The 19,991-nt window shown below is 40.3% G+C and overlaps 1 protein-coding gene across 5 annotated transcripts in view, besides 1 other annotated feature; it reads right to left on the bottom strand.

Moving 5' to 3' along the window:
* VSNL1 (visinin like 1) overlaps positions 1-19,991 on the bottom strand; it is a 117,047-nt gene that overhangs the window by 67,774 nt on the left and 29,282 nt on the right. The gene's annotated exons all lie outside the window — the stretch shown is intronic.
* Positions 8,900-9,669: an enhancer, noted in NCBI's record as "OCT4-NANOG-H3K4me1 hESC enhancer chr2:17760843-17761612 (GRCh37/hg19 assembly coordinates)". NCBI's record gives its function as "activates a minimal SCP1, AML or CMV promoter by ChIP-STARR-seq in naive H9 embryonic stem cells {active_cell/tissue: H9 hESC(naive)}" and the evidence as "EXISTENCE:reporter gene assay evidence [ECO:0000049][PMID:30033119]".

Below are 19,991 nucleotides of genomic sequence, written 5' to 3'. Positions count from 1 at the left end.
ATTATAGATTCCAGGATTGCATGCTTCCACACTTCCATGGCTCTGCATATGCTGTTCTCTTCTCCTAGAATGACTTCCCCCCATTTTCTGCTCAACAGACTTCTTCCCCTTCTTTAAATAGTCTCAATTTACACACCACCTCCTCCATGAAACCTTCGTGGACTCTCCATGGCAAACTTAGGCACCCATTCTCTTAGGTATCTCCCTTTCCTTGTAAAAGCTTCCATGATCATTATGTATTTCTCTACTGGATTGTTATTATGGTTTCTTGAGAGAGAGGACTATTATTTATTTATTTTTGCCTCTTGGTAACTCCTATTAGGTGCTCAAATAATATTTCTTGAGGACATGAATAAATAAGGGGTCTGAGATATTTGGTATTTTTTTTCTGAGAAAATGTCTCATAATCTATATATAAGGAGAGTCAATGCATTCACAAGTATAAATATAAAATGCAGTTGGCAGATGGGAGAAATATTTCATTTAACTGCATGGAAAATATTCAGCCCTCCTGGAGATTGTCTTCATCATTAAAATTGAATACCTTGCAGGTGGGACCCATGTCTTTTATCTCAGTATCTTCAGTAACTGACATAAAGGTGGTGTTTAGTAATGTGTGATAAATGAATGAAAGTGTAGTTAGATTAATACTCTCCACCTATAGTCCTTTTGCTCTGGGCTGCAGTGATATGGGCCAAGCAGTATCTTTCATTATGGGACCAGCATAACAGAAAGAGTACAAACAGTACATTTTATCACATTCCCAATAAAGAGATTCCGCTACACCATATGAGGGGGAAGCAGGCTGGCTCTGTCTCTAACTTACTCTGTGATCTTGGCCAAGATCCTTTCCTTCCTAGTTACTCCATTTCCCCATTTAAAAAATGAGGAGTTGGACCAGATGATCTTTAAGGCCTTTCCAACTCTACCATTCACTGATTTCCCACATAGGTTTTGTAAATATGAAAATATGAGTCAGACCTCCTATTGGCTTGTCTCAACACATGCAGGCTCTGTGGATTCTTGACCTGAGAACCCATCAGCATTTAAGTGTTTATTACCGAAGAAGGGAGGGGACAGAAACCGGAGTGTATTACTTTTAAGCTGGGATTTCAAGCTATAATATTAAAGCCAGCCCATCCCCAAACCAAAAGAATTTCTCACTGCTTGTGTTGTCATACAGAGAAGTTCAGTGCTAGGCACAAAACAGGACTGGTGGAAGGGCTTTGATGGACAAGAGAACTTCAAATGATAGAGCCCTTGTGGAGGAAAGCACAGTTTCACTTAATGGCAAATGATGTCCAGAGAAGATGGCACTTTTGTACACTAATTTACAAAAGGCTTTTGTGCAACAACATTGACCCATATAAACTATTGACCCCTTTTTTACAGCATTAAAAACAGTATTTTTAAAAACTGTAAAAAAGAGATTATGATTGTTTCCTTTTTACTGATGAGAACTTTGAAGGCCAGAGAGATTAAGTAATTTACCCTAGCTAAACCAGCTAGTAAGGGCTTAGTAAAGAATGCATGCAGTTCTCTCGCACCCCACTGCTTTCCTAATAGAGGCCATCATCTTCTCTCACCTGCAGGATCATCTCAAAGATACTGCAACTACCTCCCAACTGGTCTTCCTGTCTTGAGTTTCGCTCATCTCTCATCCATTTCCTACCCTGTCTTGATAGCAGGTTCCAGAGCAGAAGAGGCAGAGGATTTAAGAATGCTCCTAGAAGAGGACCAGGAGAACTTCGTGGATGTGGAAAGGGCCTACAAGGGAGCCAAGAAGCACCCATGAGCATCTTTTTTCCATAAGCCCTTTGGGTATTAAAGAGGATTGAAACAAAATATATGTGTGTGTGTGTGTGTGTGTGTGTGTGTGTGTGTGTGTGTGTGTGTTGCCCTCAGCCTGTCTCTTACCTACTGTATCTAAATCCAGTCTTCCAGAACATACCAGGGTCTGCTGAGTATGAAGAGGCACACAGAACTGCATATCCAGCTCCTCCCAGGTAATCTAGCAATCAGCCTAGCTGAATCTTAGCAAGATTCATTTAAATAAAAACTGAGTGGCTGAAATGGAGCAGTCCCACCACATGTGCAAATACATAGCAGGATAAACACAGCAGTGGGAAAACAACCTTGGAAATAGGGCTGAGAGCAAAGGAAGAAAGGGCTTTAGGGGCTCAGGTTGGAGACCTGCATGTAATGCAAGTATGGAAAGAGGCTGCAATGGGCTGGTCAGTGACAGATTACTTAGGTCAGTCTTGAATAAATCTTTTCTTTGAGCCCTAGGCTCTTCACTCATATCCTGAAACAATTGCCTTTGTAGAGACTGGCCTTCTCATGCTTAGACTTCTGCCTGGAATGCCCCTTGTGCTTTTTTCCTCCATCTATCTAAACCTTACTCCTGCTGCAAGACTCCATTCCAATCCTGTTTTCTCCATGATACTTCTCTGCCAACTGTTACTACTCCTCTCTTTTCCTTGTATTTGATATTGTGGTTAATAATGACCCATGGCATAATTAACTTGACGGAATCAGGCAGAAAACTCTCTGCACAACTAAGTTTGGCAGATGTTTGTAAGAATCTTCCAGGAGAAAAGCTCTGTGCTAGGTAAGGTGGGATATAAACAGAAAGCATGGTACCAATCTTAAAGGGCTCAGACCTGGATGCAGGAGACATTTACAAGTCTTGGAATATGAAGCATGATGAAATGAATACTCATAGTAGAGAGCTACATAACACAGAGGATAGACAAACAGACAAATACTGACCAAATCAGGCACCTTCACCTGTCACCGGTCCCCAGGTGAAACCTCTTAAGCAGTCTTTCCTAAACTTGTCTGAATACAAGAATCACCCTTGGTTCTTCCTTAAAAATACAGCTTAGTGGGTTGATCCCTTGCAGGGAAATCTGTACATTTAAAAAGCAACTCAGGGGAATATGATCATGAGTCAACTTGGGAAATGCTGCTGGAAAGCATAAATAAAAATCGAAGTACATGATCTAAGAAGCACACCCCAAACCAGCACAGACATAACCCAAGGTCTCCCTGATTCCTCACTAACCCCATCTGGCATTCCTGATGTGCTTTCAAGATCCTTGTACTGGGGACTAGCATTAAGAATTCCAAAATTGGCCGGGTGCAGTGGCTTATGCCTGTAATCCCAGCGCTTTGGGAGGCTGAGGTGGGCAGATCACCTGAGGTCAGGAGTTTGAGACCAGCCTGGCCAACATGGTGAAACCCTGTCTCTACTGAAAATATAAAAATTAGCCAGGTGTGGTGGTGGGCACCTGTAATCCCAGCTACTCGGGAGGCTGAGACAGGAGAATTGCTTGAACCAGGGAGGTGGAGAAGGTTGCAGTGAGCCAAGATCGCACCATTGTACTCCAGCCTGGGTGACAAGAGTGAAACTCTGCCTCAAAAAAAAAAAAAAGAAAAAAAGAATTCCAAGATCACACAAGGGAAGACCAAAGCTTGAAAAGATTTGCCTGTAGGCTCCTCTGCTTTAAGCCCTTTGGTTTTAGGTTGGAGAGTTTGAGGCTCAGGAAGGTGATGAATTTTCCCAGATCACATGGGCAGCTGATGGCAGAGCTGGGATGAGAAGCCCATCCCCCCACCTGGATGGGTGTCCCCCACTCCCCACCCCCACAGCATGCTGTCCCTGTGTCTAACACTCAAAGCTTGTAAGCCACTACCCATGTTTCTCTCTGTGCAAGGATGTTGAAACAACCCCCAGCACCACCCCCTTGGATCCTATAAACAACTGACACCGGATTGCTGGTTTCCAGAGACTGTTAAAAACAGCCTTGAAAACCATGCCTTAAAATTGCCCAGCATATTGTATGTTTTTTTTTTTTTTATAATGAAGGCAAATATCTGACACTATGCCTCTTTCTGTTCCCCTCTTCTTTGTCCTCCAGAAGCCAAGTACTCACAAGCCCCCAGCAGCATTTCCCAGCGGGCAGGGAGGGTGTGGACCACAAGCTGGCATTTCATGATGTGTCTGGGGACAAAAGCAGCTTCTGGAAAGAACAGAAATCCCTTCTTACAGCATCCTCTGATGACATTACCTCAAAACCTGAATCTCCTGGAATTATAGTTGAGGTTTCACCCCATAAGCATGAAACAGGAGGGGGCACAGACTGAATCCCTGGGGACTCAAGATAAGGCAAACATATTTTTTTAATCTATAATAAGTGAGGGAAAATATTTTGACAGCAGTGGCAGTGGCAATGTTAGGGCGAGTAACAAGAGTTCTGTTTGCCAAAGTATAGTAAACACCTGAAGGTGAAAGCAGAAGTGGGCCCCAGGGATCAATCATCTGATCCAACCCCTTTGTTTTCTAGAGGAGGCCCAAGGAGGCTAGGGGACTTATGCCAGAAAACATAGCGAGTTAGTATGTTAGGGCCTAGCCATGCCCTAGCTACCAAGTCTCAACGATAAGACTGATGCCTGCTGCAGTGCCCAGGCCTGTGATCCTTGGGTACTGAGACAGGCTGAAGGTCCTAAGCCCTTCAGAATCATGTCTTCTCATGTGAGTAGGGTGTGACGAGTGGACTCCCTCCTTAGGCCTGCCCCAGCTGCTCCCAGTGAAGTTTCCACCTGAGCTGTCTTTTTACAGGGCAGGTGCTGAGAGCCTGAAGTGGCTCTGGAGCCTTGGCCAAATGGTATATCCCTGACTCTGGGCTGGGTGCTGGCAGCGGACATTGGTCTTTGGCTTTCACTAGGTGGTCTCAAGCTAAAACCCACTTAGAAACTTGGGGGCCAGATGTCCAGGGGCTCTGATCTGCAAAGGGTCAAAATGGCATAATCAAATGGCATCTGACCCTTGGGGGTCAGATGCAACTGCCATCTGCCTCCTTTCCAAGGCACAAAGAACATTTCCTGAGTGCCTGGGAAACATGACTTAGACCCAAGCCATACTTGATACCCAGGTGCTATTCTATGACTTTGGAAAAGTTTCTACTCAGACTCAGTTTCCCTTGTATCCCTTTTTGTGGGTTTCCTTCTTTTTGTCAGGTTCTGATGTCTCTTTTATTTTCATCTGGACTTAGCGTAGTAGGGAAAAAAAGTGTGTGCTGGAGTCAGTCTTAGGGTCAAATGATGCTCCTGCTTAATACAAGGTGCGTGAATTTTGATAAGTTACTTAGCCCACTGGAACCCCAATCTCCCCATTTTTCAAATAAAATAATGTTATTTGCTCAAAGGGTTGTTGTGAGGATAAATGAGATAATGCTGACTTTTTTCCAACAGTGCCTTCCATGAGGCAGGTGTCCAAAAAACAGTAACTATTATTATCCTCATCACAGGACCCAGCCAACTGGGCTGCTCCAAATGATGGAGAGGGGGACTGTTCAAGATTCAGGCCTAGACAGCAGGAGTCATCCTAACCTCAATACATGGCACCGAGCCTGGCACATGTAAACAGACGTACACAAATTGTGAAACATAGGGAATTTTGCTGTGGCCTTGTTGACTCTCCTTCCTTTACATAAAAGTGCATCATATCCGACCTGACTGAGGAAAGTCATCTGAGGACCTCACAGCCCCAACTAAGCATCAACCATTGAGTGAAGTTTCCATCCAATTTCTTGCTCACCCACTGAACAGAAGTGTGAGCTGATTAATAGCTGGTAACCTTTCATCTGGGAGTGTTTCAAGCAGCCACCCACTTTTCTGCACCTTATTTTTACTTCCCTATGTGTACTGTCTCTGACCATCCTATGTGTTTCTGAGAATTGGTTTCTATGAAAGGAAATGGGCCATCTTTGGCAGTGTTAGAACCTCACTTAGTTCTGTGAGGTAACAGAGGAAATGCTTTCATTAATAATCACAGCCTTCTGTCCAACAGATTGTGTTCTAGGTTGTGCTGCCAAGTCCCAGTGGGGAGGGACTGTGGCCCTTATCTGAGAACAGCAGGGAGCTGCCGAGAGAGAAGAGCAGACCTGGAGTGTCCCGCTTCACCTGCACATTCCCTGTCACAGGGTTAGGCATTGATCATCAGGAATGCAACCCCTGTCTTTGCATTCAGAGAACTTGAATATTTGGTGGAGGGGGTGAGTGGCATGTACCAGTGTCCACCAATAGTAGACAAGTTCCAACTCACTCATCTTCTGACTCTTAGGCTGGTACTCTTTCCTCTCTGAGAGCCATTTGCACTCACCATGTTCCTAAGTTGTTATCTCTACAGTAATTCTAAAAAGATACTTTAATTCATGTTGGTTAGTCTTAAAAACAACTTTGAAATTCTCGTATGAAGGTGGCTTTATAGAAGTAAAATGTTCTAGTTGAAGGAAACATGATGCTGAAAATGAGTCAATTCATTCATTTATTCAGCAAACTTTTACTCAGTATTATCATATGATTCCCAAATTTTTCTTTAGGACAGGTCTTTCCAGGTCTTTAGGGGAGGTCCTAAAGAAAAATTTGGGAATACTAGATAATGTATTCATCTGCCTGCTAGACATTTCCACCATTGTATTCTACCACCACATCAAACTCAACATACTATGCAAACATGAATTTGTCCTCCTTTTTCCCCTAAAACATCCTTTTATTCTTTGTTCCTCTCCGAGTAAGTGGCCCGCCATCTTCACAAGGTTCCATGCAGAGTCTGGGCATCATTCTGAACTTCTCTATTTCGTGTTTCTGTATGTAAACCTATCAACAAGTTAAGAAGTTGGTAGATTCTACTTTCTAACTCTTGATTCCATCTACTTTTCTCTGTTGCCACTACTTTGGTTCAAGCCATTATCCTATCACTTTGAGTAGTACAATAGCTTCCTAACTTGCTTCTCCATCTAAAGTCTTACCCTCCTGAATTCCATCTTCCATACTATCATAGCTGGAATGACCTTTCTAAAACACAAAACCCAATCATGTCACTGCCCTGCTTAAACCCTTCAGTGGTCTCTCATTATCCTCACTCTGAATTCCAACTGTGAGCATGGCTTCCCAGACCTGCTCACTTGGGCCTACACTTTCCCTCCAGCCTCCCACCTTCCTCCTTCCCCTCACCCCTCCTGGCACCTCTTTAGTTTCCTCTCTCCCCATGTTCTCACCTATGCTACAACTTCCTAATATCATGCCAAACCTCTCTGTGTTTCCTTTTGCTGCTCCTTTTGCTCTGAGGGCAGTTCTCATTAGCTACACGTTGGTTCTCTAGTGAACTCCCACTGATATTTCAAGATGTAGAGGAGGTACCTCATTTTCAGTGACTTCACTGTACGGCTACTTCTTCTTTTGCAAATTACACAACTGCTGTTGCTGCATCACCTGCCACAGTAGTATCTGTAATCCATGTCTCCCATCTCACAGATGGGGGTTCCTCAAGGGTGGGTGATTGTCCACTTCACCTCAGCACTAGTTCAGAGCCCACTGCTGAACAGATACCCAGGAAATGTTGTTGAATTAATTAATTACTATGTAATCCCTCCCATTAACAGCAAGAGCTTATCAGTTGAGCGATAAGAGAGAACGTATGAAACGAAGCTTAAAGATGACTGTACTAAGTGCTGTTAGGGAGAGAAAAGCAGTGTCATGAGGAAGAGAGAGAGAACACGCTTCTTTCTAGGAAACCAGCAACAAAGCTTCTTTGAGAGATTGGGTAAGGAATATTTTATAAAGTGGTCTCTCGAAATTATCTCAAGGAAATAATGACACAAGCCTGTTAAGACATATATACAAAGGGTGTTTACTTCAGCATTGTTTAAAATCATTTTTAAAAACCTCTTTTAAAAACTACCTAAAGGTCCATCACAGGAAACTGGCTAAATAAATTTCTTTAGAGCAATGAATGGAAATTATGAAGCCATTAAAAGTGATAATGTATATCTACATTGATGGATATGGGTGGGTATTGACTCAATGTCATTTATTTAAGTGAAAACACACAAATGTACAAATAAACTCTGTATATTTTCAAGGATAAACCCTTACCTGAGGACATATATTAAATACAATATAATGGAGGAAGGGAATGGGAGCATAGCAAATAAAGGGAAATTAAAACTATATGAGAAAACACAAGAAGGGCTTTATATAAAAAATGTTGATATTGAACCATGATCTGAGGAATACGATTAACATAAGCAGCACTTTAGGAATAAAAATGAAAGAAAAAAGGAGAGATAATATTGTAATAAATTGTTAAGTCAAAAATGCAGGTCACAAAACAGTAAGTGTAGCACCACTTACTTTTGCTTTATACACACACTTGCTTGAGCTTGTGTGCACAGGAAGTTTGGTCAGTTCATAATTTATATCAAAATCTTAACAGTGATTATAACTGCTGGTGGTATAATGGTGGCATTTCACTCTCTCCTTAATATCTTTCTGAACTCTTTATAATGAGCATATAACATTTATAAGCAGAACAATGTGCAAATGTTTTTATTTCAGCAAACAAATAAATGCACAAAATGTATTTCATTCACCAAACTAATAAAATCCTAACAAAGCTCACTTCTTTCTATAAAGTCTGAGTTTCGTTTTCTTTCCTGACACGGCCTGGAAAATGCACTAGATTAATAGTGAGAAACACTTTTACAATTTGCAAACTGCCTCCAGGGTTTGTTCTTACAATGAACTGGTGAATTAGGTGAGGCAGAAACTTTCATAGAACTTGTATAGATGAGAAAACTGAAGTTCAAAGAGGACACAGACTTTTGCAAAAGTCACACGGGAAAACACTGGCAGAGTTTGGACTGAAACCTAGCTCTGATGCTTTAGGGAAAGGTGTGGTCCCATGAACCTGTCAAAGCACAGAAAACTCACACAGGCCTTTGGGAGGCTTGGAAAACTTCCTGAGGATATTAGCTGGTTTTGTGGTCAACAGTTTCAGGTTGAGGTCCCAGAATGGTGGGTTTTACCTTCAGAGAAATCATTTCCTTATTTCCTGGAAACGCAGCAGATAAGGTTGACCAGAGATGTTAATGTTCCCCAAGGCTTCTCGGATCTTTACTTTGTCCTTTGGGTAGATTCCTTTCTGGACTTCACTGGACAACTCTAGACCCAACCATAGGCACCCAGAAGTGGTGATCTATGGAAGCTCTGAATTTTCTATTTTTTGAATTTGAATATGAGTCATTGTAATGAACAGTGGATAGTGCTTTAGCATTTACAAAGCTCTCTCCTATCTCACATCTTACATAAACCTTGGCATTGTTAGCATCAATCTTACAGAAGACAAAACTGAGCCTCAGAGAGGTTTGGTGACATAGCAGATTCTGATGGTCAGGGACTCTGACTCCCAGCACTGTGTCTCCCGATCACAACTTCTCCAAGGTGCTGAGATGTCACCTCAGGGTTCTCCTGAGCTTCTCCTCCATATTCATCACCCAGAGCTAAATAGAATGAGCCTAAGAACTAAAGGTCTTTGATCTACCTGTGAATCCTAAAAGACTGCTGTTAATTCATTGTTTGTAAAGGGAGTGGCTCTAACTGAAAGCACCACAGGAGGTCCTTTTCCAGGATTCTTTCATCCCAGGGCCCTCCCAAATGCCTGTGTGGGTTTTCGGTGCTTTGATAAGTTCATTGGACCACACCTTTCCTAAAGCACCAGAGCTAGGTTTCAGTTTCAGCTTTGCCAGTGTTTTCCTGTGTGACCTTTGCAAAAGTCTGTGTCCTCTTTGCACTTCAGTTTTCTCATCTATACAAGTTCTGTGAAAGTTTCTGCCTCAACGAATTTGCCAGGTCATTGTAAGAACAAACCCTGGAGCCAGTTTGCAAATTGTAAAATTGTTTCTCACTCTTAATCTAGTGCACTTTCCAGGCAATGTCAGAAAAGAAAACAAGACCTAGACTATATAGAAAGAAGTGGGCTTTGTGGCCAGGCGCGGTGGCTCACGCCTGTAATCCCAGCACTTTGGGAGGCCGAGGCGGGCGGATCACGAGGTCAGGAGATCGACACTATCCTGGATAACACAGTGAAACCCCGTCCCTACTAAAAACACAAAAAATTAGCCGGGCGTGGTGGCGGGCACCTGTAGTCCCAGCTACTCAGGAGGCTGAGGCAGGAGAATGGCATGAACCCGGGAGGCGGAGCTTGCAGTGAGCCAAGATTGCACCACTGCACTCCAGCTTGGGCGACAGAGCGAGACTCCGTCTCAAAAAAAAAAATAAAAAAAAAGAAAGAAAGAAAGAAGGGGGCTTTGTTAGGCAGGGACAAAAAGAGGGAGTAGGTTTTCAAATCCCTGGCATGAAGGAGAAAACACACTTGTTGATGAGGAGCCAACAGAAGATTCACAAAAAAGAAGCTGGAGGAAGAGGAGTTGCGTAGAAGGAGAAGCACAACCAAGTGTTCCTTCTTAGGGTTTTGGAAGCTGGATGGAAAGAACGTATTTACCAAAGGTTACGAGAGGAATGCTGACCCTCTTCTGTGAGGTCCCTGTGTTTGATGTGTTTCCAGCTCTGATTTAGGCTTATGCTGTCCTTGCTGGGCCTTTGTGAAGTATCCAGCAAGGCTGGAACAAAGCACTTTATTGTAGTGCATGAAAAATATCTTTGCTGAAAGAGACAATGCCAAGGCTAGGGGGACTAAAATTAGACCTTCCGGTGTGTTTGACTTGGCAAGTTGTATGGCCTCCTCCACCTGCCTCCCTCCCAGCCGTGGGCCTTCTGAGAGCACAGGTAGCATGTGCTGAAGGAGAGGAAGTGCCGCTTCCTCTGGCACCCTGTGGGGATGACAAATGCTTCTGGGCCTGTGTCACTTTCACTTGGAGTAGTTATGTGAAGTGATACTCAGTTTGAAGGGACATGTTTCCACATCAGCTAATCTGCAAATAAGGATGAAACCATATTGAGTCTCCCCATTAACCTAATGTCCCTCCATGTTGAAACCAAAAGAAAACCTCAAAACAATCCTATGTTTGAACCTCACATTTACCTTTGTCTAAGAATTTAGAGCTTCACCTAGTAACCATGGCAGAATCCAAAGAGCCAGTTATCAGTGCCTTCCATCACACAGTGGAGTTGTGTTGTCTACAGCAAAGACCCGGGCCTTCTCATTAGACAAACAAGGTGAGATACTTGCTGAAGCACATCTACTAGCTGGGAAGGGAAATTTACTGAGTTTTTCTTATCCTGTTCATTCAACATTAAATTGTGTATATTAATAACTACCTCAAAATGTTAAATAAAATAATAAATCTATATGACCGATATTTTAGCAGTAATAACAACAGCTTATATGATCAAGTGCTCACTATGTGTTCATGGATTACCTCACTTCTTCTTTACAACCGTTTTATGAAGTAGATACCATTATATAGTCATATTACAGTTGAGGTGAATGAGGCTTACCGAGAAGGTTACACAACAAGAAAATGGTAGAGTTGGGATTTGAACCCTGACAGACCCTTAGCCATTGTAAACTATTCTGTCAGATTAGAGATGAGAAACAAAAAAGTACTTTTCTGTGACAAAAACCGTTATTTCCACATAAGAGCTCATCAGTCTCCCTTTTTCACCTGGGTGCTGCCTTTATGTAACATTTTTTTCCCCAAGTGAGGGAACTCTGGGGTCCCCTGAGGCTTGGTCAGTTATCTCACAGTTGCCTGCCCCTGGTCCCCAGGGCAGATGGGAGAGGACTTGGATGCTAAATAGAAGGGTAGCCATTGAAAGAACAGGGAATGTTTAGCCTGGAGAAACAAAGACTCAAGAGAGGACATTTGAGGTCTCCTCAAATACATGCAGAATTTATGGGCACAAAAATAGACATATAGATCAGCATAACAGAATGGAGAGTCTAGAAATAGATCCAGCTATACAGACTCACTTAATATATGATCAAGGAAGCTTTTCAGAACAAGGGGGAAATAGAGGAAATATAATTTATAAGTGACATAATCACCTCTTGATAGCAGTTCAATAAAAAAAGTAAGAACCATACCATATGCCATCTTTTAAAAAATCATTAACATTTGGAATCAAAAGTTCAATACAAAAACTATCAAAGAAAACTATCAGAAACTGAAAATATAGACAAAAGGTTAATAGCTATGTATGTGTATATAATGTCATGTGCCTCAGAGTGACGGTTCACTCAACAATGGACTATATATATGATGGTGGTCCCATAAAAGTATAATATATTTTTACTGTACATTTTCCATGTTTAGATATATTTAAATATACAAATACTATTGTGTTACAATTGCCTACAGTACTCAGTACAGTAACCTGCTGTACAGGCTTGTAGCCTATAGGCAGGTGTGTAGTAGGCTATGCCGTCTAGGTATGTGTAAGGACTCTCTATGATGTTTGCACAATGATACATTTCTCAGAACATGTTTCTGTCATTAAGTGATGCATGACTGTATTTGTATCTAAAGCAAATACCAGTTATTAAGGAAACCATCAGAGACAGAAGACAGAAATGATTAAAGAGTATGAATAGAAAAGAGTAAACACAAATAGTAAACTGATAGAAGTATGTTTAACCTGATTATTAAGGTCAAGATGGACTCTCTAAATAAAAGCAAAGACAGAAACTATAAAAGATAAGACTGATAGATATAACTACATAAAGATTCACAGTTTAGGGAATCTAAAAAAACAGAAAAAGTAAAAATAACAACATGGGACTATATATTCAACATACGTGTCTTTTAAGTATTAACATTGCTTAAAAATAAATGGGAAGAGGATTATGCTGGCAGGCTGAGCAATGAACATCAATAGAATATGAACAAAATATTAAATATCAATGGCCAAGTTTACACCTACAAATAATCAAATACAGCAAAACTGCATGTTAATATAACCCACCAGAAAACACTAGAAATAAATAATTAAATATAAACTTTTGATTCCAGGGGAAGGTATCTTAAAGAAATAACCCAAGAGGAAAAAGTTACATACAGACACATATTTATTGCATTTTCATTTTAATAATAGTAGAAACTCTAGCACTATAACCATTTCCCACTAGGGAAATGGATAGTAAATCATGGCACATTAACTGAGTGGAACATAAAATTGTGAATGCAATGTTGAAACATGGCAAATTACTTATGATACGCTAAGTGGAGAAAGCAGAGATGCAAAATTAAACACACTCTATAATTACAACTAGTTACTGCAAAAAATGAAGACAATTGTTTTCCTCTCTTGCTGCTTACAAATGAATAAAAAGTGTGGACTATATGCAGAAACCATGTTAAGTATCAGGATATGGAGATGAAAAAGAAATGGCTTATTTCCTATACAAACCAATGACCCAATGAGAGGGACAAATAATATGCAAAAAAATTTATTTTTAAGTTATAATAATGGAATGATAAGCATATTCCTATAATTTACAAGTTTCTATGGTAACAAGTGAATGTTAAATAGAGATCTCTTATAGGTTATCATATTAACTTATATATTAACATATGAGAACTTGTAAAGATATTTGTGAAATCGGGCCGGGCGCAGTGGCTCATGCCTATAATCCCAGCACTTTGGGAGGCCGAGGCAGGCAGATCACAAGGTCAGGAGTTCGAGACCAGCCTGGCCAACATGGTGAAACCCCGTCTCTACTAAAAATACAAAAAATTAGCCGGGCATGGTGGCGCATGCCTCTAATTCCAGCTACTCGGGAGTCTGAGGCAGGAGAATCGCTTGAACCTGGGAGGCGGAGGTTGCAGTGAGCAGAAATCATGCCACTGCACTCCAGCCTGGGCGACAGTGTGAGACTCCATCTCAAAAAAAAATAAAAAAAATAAAAAAAAAGATATTTGTGAAATCTACTTAATTTTCCCTATATAAGGTTGAGAAGGTTGAGGTCCAAAGAGAGTAAGTAGTCTAGAGTGACAAAGGTCGAACTACACTTAGAAAAACAACCAGGTTTCCTAACTCCCACTATTGTGTTATTTCAATTATTTTATGGACTGTCTTCAATGATTTAACCTTCAAATTATTCAGAGGTAGGTAGTCCCTTGTATTTTAAGCTAATGATGGATGCCCTTTTATTCTTATTTTCTCCTGACTTTAGGAATCTGAATTCCTCCTCTGCTTCCCTCCCGGGTTGGGAGGTGACCAGCAACCAGCCTGCATTTCTACCTTCCCAGTACCTGCAATCCAGAAGGAAGAGGTTCAGCTCTTGGCCATCTCCTACAAAAAGTTTAATAGGCTGGGCATGGTGGCTCATGCCTGTAATCCCAGCACTTTGGGAGGCAGGGCAGGTGGATTGCTTGAGTCCAGAAGCTTGAGACCAGCCTGGGTAACATGGTGAAACCCTGTCTCTACAAAAAATACATAGAAAAGAAGAGAAAAGAAAAGAGAGGAAGGAAGGAAAGAAGGGTAAGAAAGCAAGAAGGAAAGATTAGCTGGGCATGGTGGTGTGTGCCTGTAGTTCCAGCTACTTGGGAGGCTGAGGAAGGAGGATTGCTTGAGCCCAGGAGGTGGAGGCTGCAGTGAGCCGTGATCACAGCACTACACTCCAGGCTGGGGGACAGAGTGAGACCCTATCTCAAAAAACAAAGTTTGATAGCTTAGTTTTCATGAAATAACGAAGTCTTCCATAAGTGGCAAGGCTCTTTTCCACATCCAACCCAAAGATTACAGCATGGAAAATGAATGGGCAGAAGAGAAACAAACAAAGGAAAATCCCTGAGTATTCAGCTGGAGCCAGTGACTGGCAAGGATCCCAGGGTGTATGGACACCTTTATTAAACTACTTGTAAAATTCTATGGACTGTATTTGATTGCTTTTTTGAAAGGACTAACTTGAATACGCTCAAAGAATTTTCAGCTGGAATATTAGCTAAAATCTGAATAAGAAAGATGAAGGCAAGAGTTAAATTGGTGACTCATCTGAGAAAGCACAGTTTAAAATATTAGGGGGCAGACACTTCTGAAACCATGGTGCAGAAAGGAGCTTAGCTTTTGTGAAAGAACACAGTGGGTCAGGAAGGAGTGTTTCATGTGATGATAGGGCTAAAAGTGCTGTATTTTGGCCCATATATAATCATTCTCAGGGGTAGAGAAAAAGTTATCTGTTAACTGAACTCTGCTGACTTTTTGATAGAAATATAAAGATCAGGGTGGGGGGGGATCAAAGAAAGACATAGGATAGGATTTACCCAGAACCTACGGGTCAGTTATGACTTGCAGGAGAATAGAATGGGTGTCAGGACAAGCTTCGAAACTTGAAGTCAATGGAAATTACCAGATGCATGAGAAGTACAAAGAAAATGTGAAGTCAAATCCCAGTAAATGGCTTCCTTGCTGCTAAAGTTAGGTTGCTTGTACAAAACGCATGTTTGGCTTTTGAGAACTGCATTCAACCACAAAGCAACTGCTGCCAAGCAGAATCCTAGAATCACTGAACTGAGAGGGAACCAAAATATCCTAGCTTAGATAAACTCTTTCCTTTTCCAGATGAGAAACAGGTCTAGGGAAGACACAAGCTTTCTCTAAGTGTGTAGAAAATATCTGTGGCAGATCTTGTTCCAAAGCCTCATCTCCTGATTCCAAATCCAATATTCTCTTCAGTTGCCACTTTTACCCAAAGTCAATCAACAAAAACACCAAGTAGGTGTCAGAAGAAATGAGCTTACTCATCTTGCAGAGAAGCATAAGGCAATGGAGGATACAATGGGCAGGACCTCATCTCTGTCTCAGTAATTCAGCAAAGCGTCATGAGTTTGAAATCCACAGTCTGAAATTTATGAGTCAGCCTATGTTGCTCCATTTCTTCCCCTAGTTCTAATTAATCAGAAATTCTAATTTCTAACCATGAATTCCTCTTCTGTTCTCCATTTCATTTATTCCACCTCACTTCAGAAACTTTTTTTTTTTTTGCAAAAACTAAGTAGTCTTCCTGTTTGTAGCCTGTACCCTTCAAATTTAGTCTTGACATTGCCTCCATAGTAATTTTACTAGAATAAATATCTGACCATTTCAGGCATTCAATGCCTTACTGATGCCTGAAGAGAAAGTCCCAGTTCTTTTGTAAGACCCATAGGGGTCACCATGATCTTGTTTATGCCTTTCTCTTCAGTTTCATCTCTTACTTCTCCCACTTCATGCTCCCAGACTTAAAACATGAGTAAATTTGCATTTTCCAAAATGTGTCAATAGTTTATCAGGCCTCTGTCAGCATAGTACGCACTTGTCGAATGGCCAAATGAATGAACAAATGAGTCAAAAGAGATTTAATAAAGAAATTTCTTAAAGATATTGGTTACTTTGCTAATTAATCCTCTCTAGTCATAATCTCCTCTGAGGATGAGTACTATGTCTGTCCTGTAGGCTTTTATATGTCCAGTATTTAACAGTTGAATAGATGAATGAATGGATGATGAATGAATAAAACATTGCAGCAGAGATTCATGTGGCTATTATGGAAGGACAGAGAAGACAATCAAACACATTTGTGGGAATTGAGAGAAGCTTCACATGAGAAGCAACCTTTGCAGTGGATGAATAGGGACTGCCAGGCAGGAATGATAGATACAAAGAGATGTGAAAGAGCATGTTATGTTCAGAGATTAAGTAGTAAGAGAATACCACTGGAAAGCCTGAGGTGGGCAGGATAACCTGAGGGAAAGGGTGAGACAGAGTTAGATTTAAATCCCAGCCTTAATTCTCACTACCTGTATGACTCCAATCAAGCTATAGAACCTCTCTTACATGAAGATTAAACATGGAGTAATAGAAATGAATAATGGTTATTGTATGGCATGAAACAAGAGGCTGTCTCCCTTTGCCTCCTTCTTCTTTTTCTTCCTCCTCTTCTTTTTTAGTGTTAATTACTTGTTTTGGCATAAGTATCCTGGGCTGCTCCAGTCACAGTGTAAGACTAGAGACCCCTAGTCTTACACAGATCTAAACCCCAAAACCTCTGCCCTGGATGTTCTCTGTGGAAAACCGGGTCTTATTTACATATCTGTATCTCATTTATCCTACTGCATGCGCCAGACAAATGTAAAATAAAAACAAGTGCCTCCAACTCAGATGAAAATAGGAAGGACCAATGGAAGAAGAAGAAATCCACTTGCTATCTAGTTTCTAAAGTTTTTATTCATCTGCTATCTATATCCAAATAATTTGGCTCCTCCATATCTCTCCACAGAAAGATTGTATAATTTATTGTCCAAAAAGCATACTTTGAGAGTGAAAGGAGGTGCTATTATTTACACCAGGACAACAGGCATTGTTCAGGACTACCTTAAGAAAATCAGGGTGCACGTTCTTTCTACCTCTCCAGCTTTATCTCTTATTACCCTCTCTGTTATTTACTGTGCTTCAGTCATACTCACTTTGTGGTCTTCTCTAACATATTGAGTTCCTTCTCATATTACAGCCTTTATGTGAACTTTTCTCTCTCTCCTTAGAATTCTCTTTTCCTAAGATTCTTTATGGCTGGCTTCTTGCCAGTCAGATCACTGCTCAAATGTGACCTGTCAGGTCTTTCTGGCCTATTTCAACTAGTCTCTCCCATGACACACTCCTAGTGACTATATAATTACCTTGCTTTATATTCTTTGTAGCTCTTAAAATGATCTGAACTTATCTAGTGTATTTGTTAATTTACATGAGTATTTATTGACTGTCTACTTTCACTAGAATGTAAGCTCCAAGAGGGCAGGAACCTGGTCTGTCTTGTTAGCACTCTTTGTACCTAGAATTGTCCCTGGTGCTGAGTAGGTGCTTAATAAATATTTGTTCTATGAATATCTTAATTTTTGATCATTTTTAAAAATAGGCTATCTTGATAGTGATGACTTTTGGTATTAATATATAAATGTGTTCATTTCATATATTAATACAAAGAGGTTGTCTCTGTCAACTTGGTTGAAAGAAACGTCAACTTTAAATTCCTATAGCTACCTTGCCTGCTCATGAGCTCAGTAGGGTTATGCATCACTAGGTAGGGTTCTTAATTATTAGCAACCTCAAGGAAGAACTGAAAAAACAACCTTAAATCAGATTAAAGGCTACAATGTTGTTTAAAAAATTATTATTAGTTGTGTTAGGTTCCGGCTAGATAGCATCCTAGTACCTAAAGGAAAGTGTGGTTGAGGGTTACAAAACACCTAGGGAGGTTGCCTGACCCAAACCATAGCTAAAACATAAGCTCTTGGTATTTTGCATATTTTTAGATCATAAGTCTATTTCTTTCCCTCCTATTTTAAAGTGCTTTGGAGGTTTTTAATCAACCAAGTTTGAAAAAGGGAAATATTACCAGTTTATTTTGGGTAAATTAGTTTTGCCTATTTTTTTTTTGAGATGGAGTCTTGCTCTGTTCCCCAGGCTACAGTGCAGTGGCGCAATCTCGGCTTACTGCAATCTTCGCCTCCTGGGTTCAAGCGACTCCAGCCTCCCACATAGCCAGGATTACAGGCGCCACCACCGCACCTGGTATTTTTAGTAGAATTGGGGTTTCACCATCATGGCCAGGTTGGCCTCGAACTCCTGACCTCATGATCCACCCACCTCGGCCTCCCAAAGTGCTGGGATTACAGGTGTGAGCCACTGCACCTAGCCTAATCTTGCCATTTTTGACAATCAATTAGCCTTTCTAAGGCTCAGTTTCCTCATCTATAAAATTATGATACTACCACCTGACTGAAAGGGCATTTGTAAAATTAGAAATAATGTAGGTAATAAACCTAATGCAGTGGCTGATATAGGAGATGCTTAATAAATAGTATCTACTTTTATGGTTTATTTTCTCAGATTGTATTAATCTGTGTATTCCATTTGCATTTGGAAATAAGTTTTCAAATAATACCAATCCATAGATACTCACACTCAGAAAAATCCTGATGCCAAATACTATAAACCTTTGGTGTTAATAGATTTAATATTTAAATTTTCAGGTATTTCATAATGGGCCTAAATAGCTCATTAAGTCAAGTGGTTTATAAGTTTCTTGGAGCACACGTTCAAAACATGATTGGTATAGGGCTGGTGTGTAGCCCTAATAAGTGATTCTCCCAAGCATCTGCATTTAAGTACAGTTTTGTTAATCTTTATTCTACCCTACGCATGTAGGGAGTCTCATAAATGATTTAAAAACACAGCAAAAACTAAAAAGCTTTGTTTATTTTGTGAACAATGTCCCCCTTAAAAAACACATCTCCTCCTGCTGATAATGGAAGTGAAAAGAGAAGAGGTCAATCTCTTCACTGTATTTCATGAAGAAAACTACCAGTCAGACACTCAATTTGGAGATTTGCAAGATTTCAAAATGTCTCCTTTACATTATGCCAGGTATATAGACTGAGCGGAAAAGATCCTTCATCGAATATTCCAAAATAAAAACTTTAAAACAAGAAATTGGAATCCTGAATTGGAATGCTTACCTAGTTATAGTCTGAGTTTGTACTATTTCCCCAAAGTAAGAACCCTAAGCCAAGAAACATCACGGAACTATTATGGAGCTCTGGCAATTACAAATTCTAAAATGGTCTTAAAGGGATGTTTTCATTACCTGTTTTCAGTAATTTCTTGTTAAAGAATTAAAAATAGAGACTTGAAGATCAGAATAATTAATTATGAGGGATAATGGAATAGAAATTCTAAAAATATAAACTTAATACATTTTTAAATAGAGTTTAAATAATAGTTGAGACACAGATGAAGAGGAAAGAGTAAATTGGAAGTTAGTTCTAATGAAATTATCTGGAATGGAGCACAGTGAGGTAACGGATGAAAAATATGGAAGAGACATTAAGAGATAATGAAGCTAGAATGAGAAGCTCCAATTAATAGCTTCTAATAATGAGAAGCTATTAATAGCTCCAAAGCGAGATAAGACAGAGAGTAGGAGAGAAATTAAACCATGGAGTTTTTCAGATTTGAAAAATTCAGAATAAAACATTTTACAAATTTCAGAGTAGGAGAAATAAAACAAGTCCACATGTGGGCACATGACAATATTTTTTTTAATTTTTAATTTATTTTATTTAATTTATTTATTTTTATTTTTATTTTTTTTTTGAGACAGGGTCTCGCTCTGTTGCCCAGGCTGGAGTACAGTTGTATGATCTCCA

This window comes from Homo sapiens, chromosome 2 (assembly GCF_000001405.40).
Source record: "Homo sapiens chromosome 2, GRCh38.p14 Primary Assembly".
Lineage (NCBI taxonomy): Eukaryota > Metazoa > Chordata > Mammalia > Primates > Hominidae > Homo > Homo sapiens.
The sequence above is the reverse complement of the archived record's forward strand: the minus strand, read 5'-3'. Positions and strand labels throughout refer to the sequence as shown.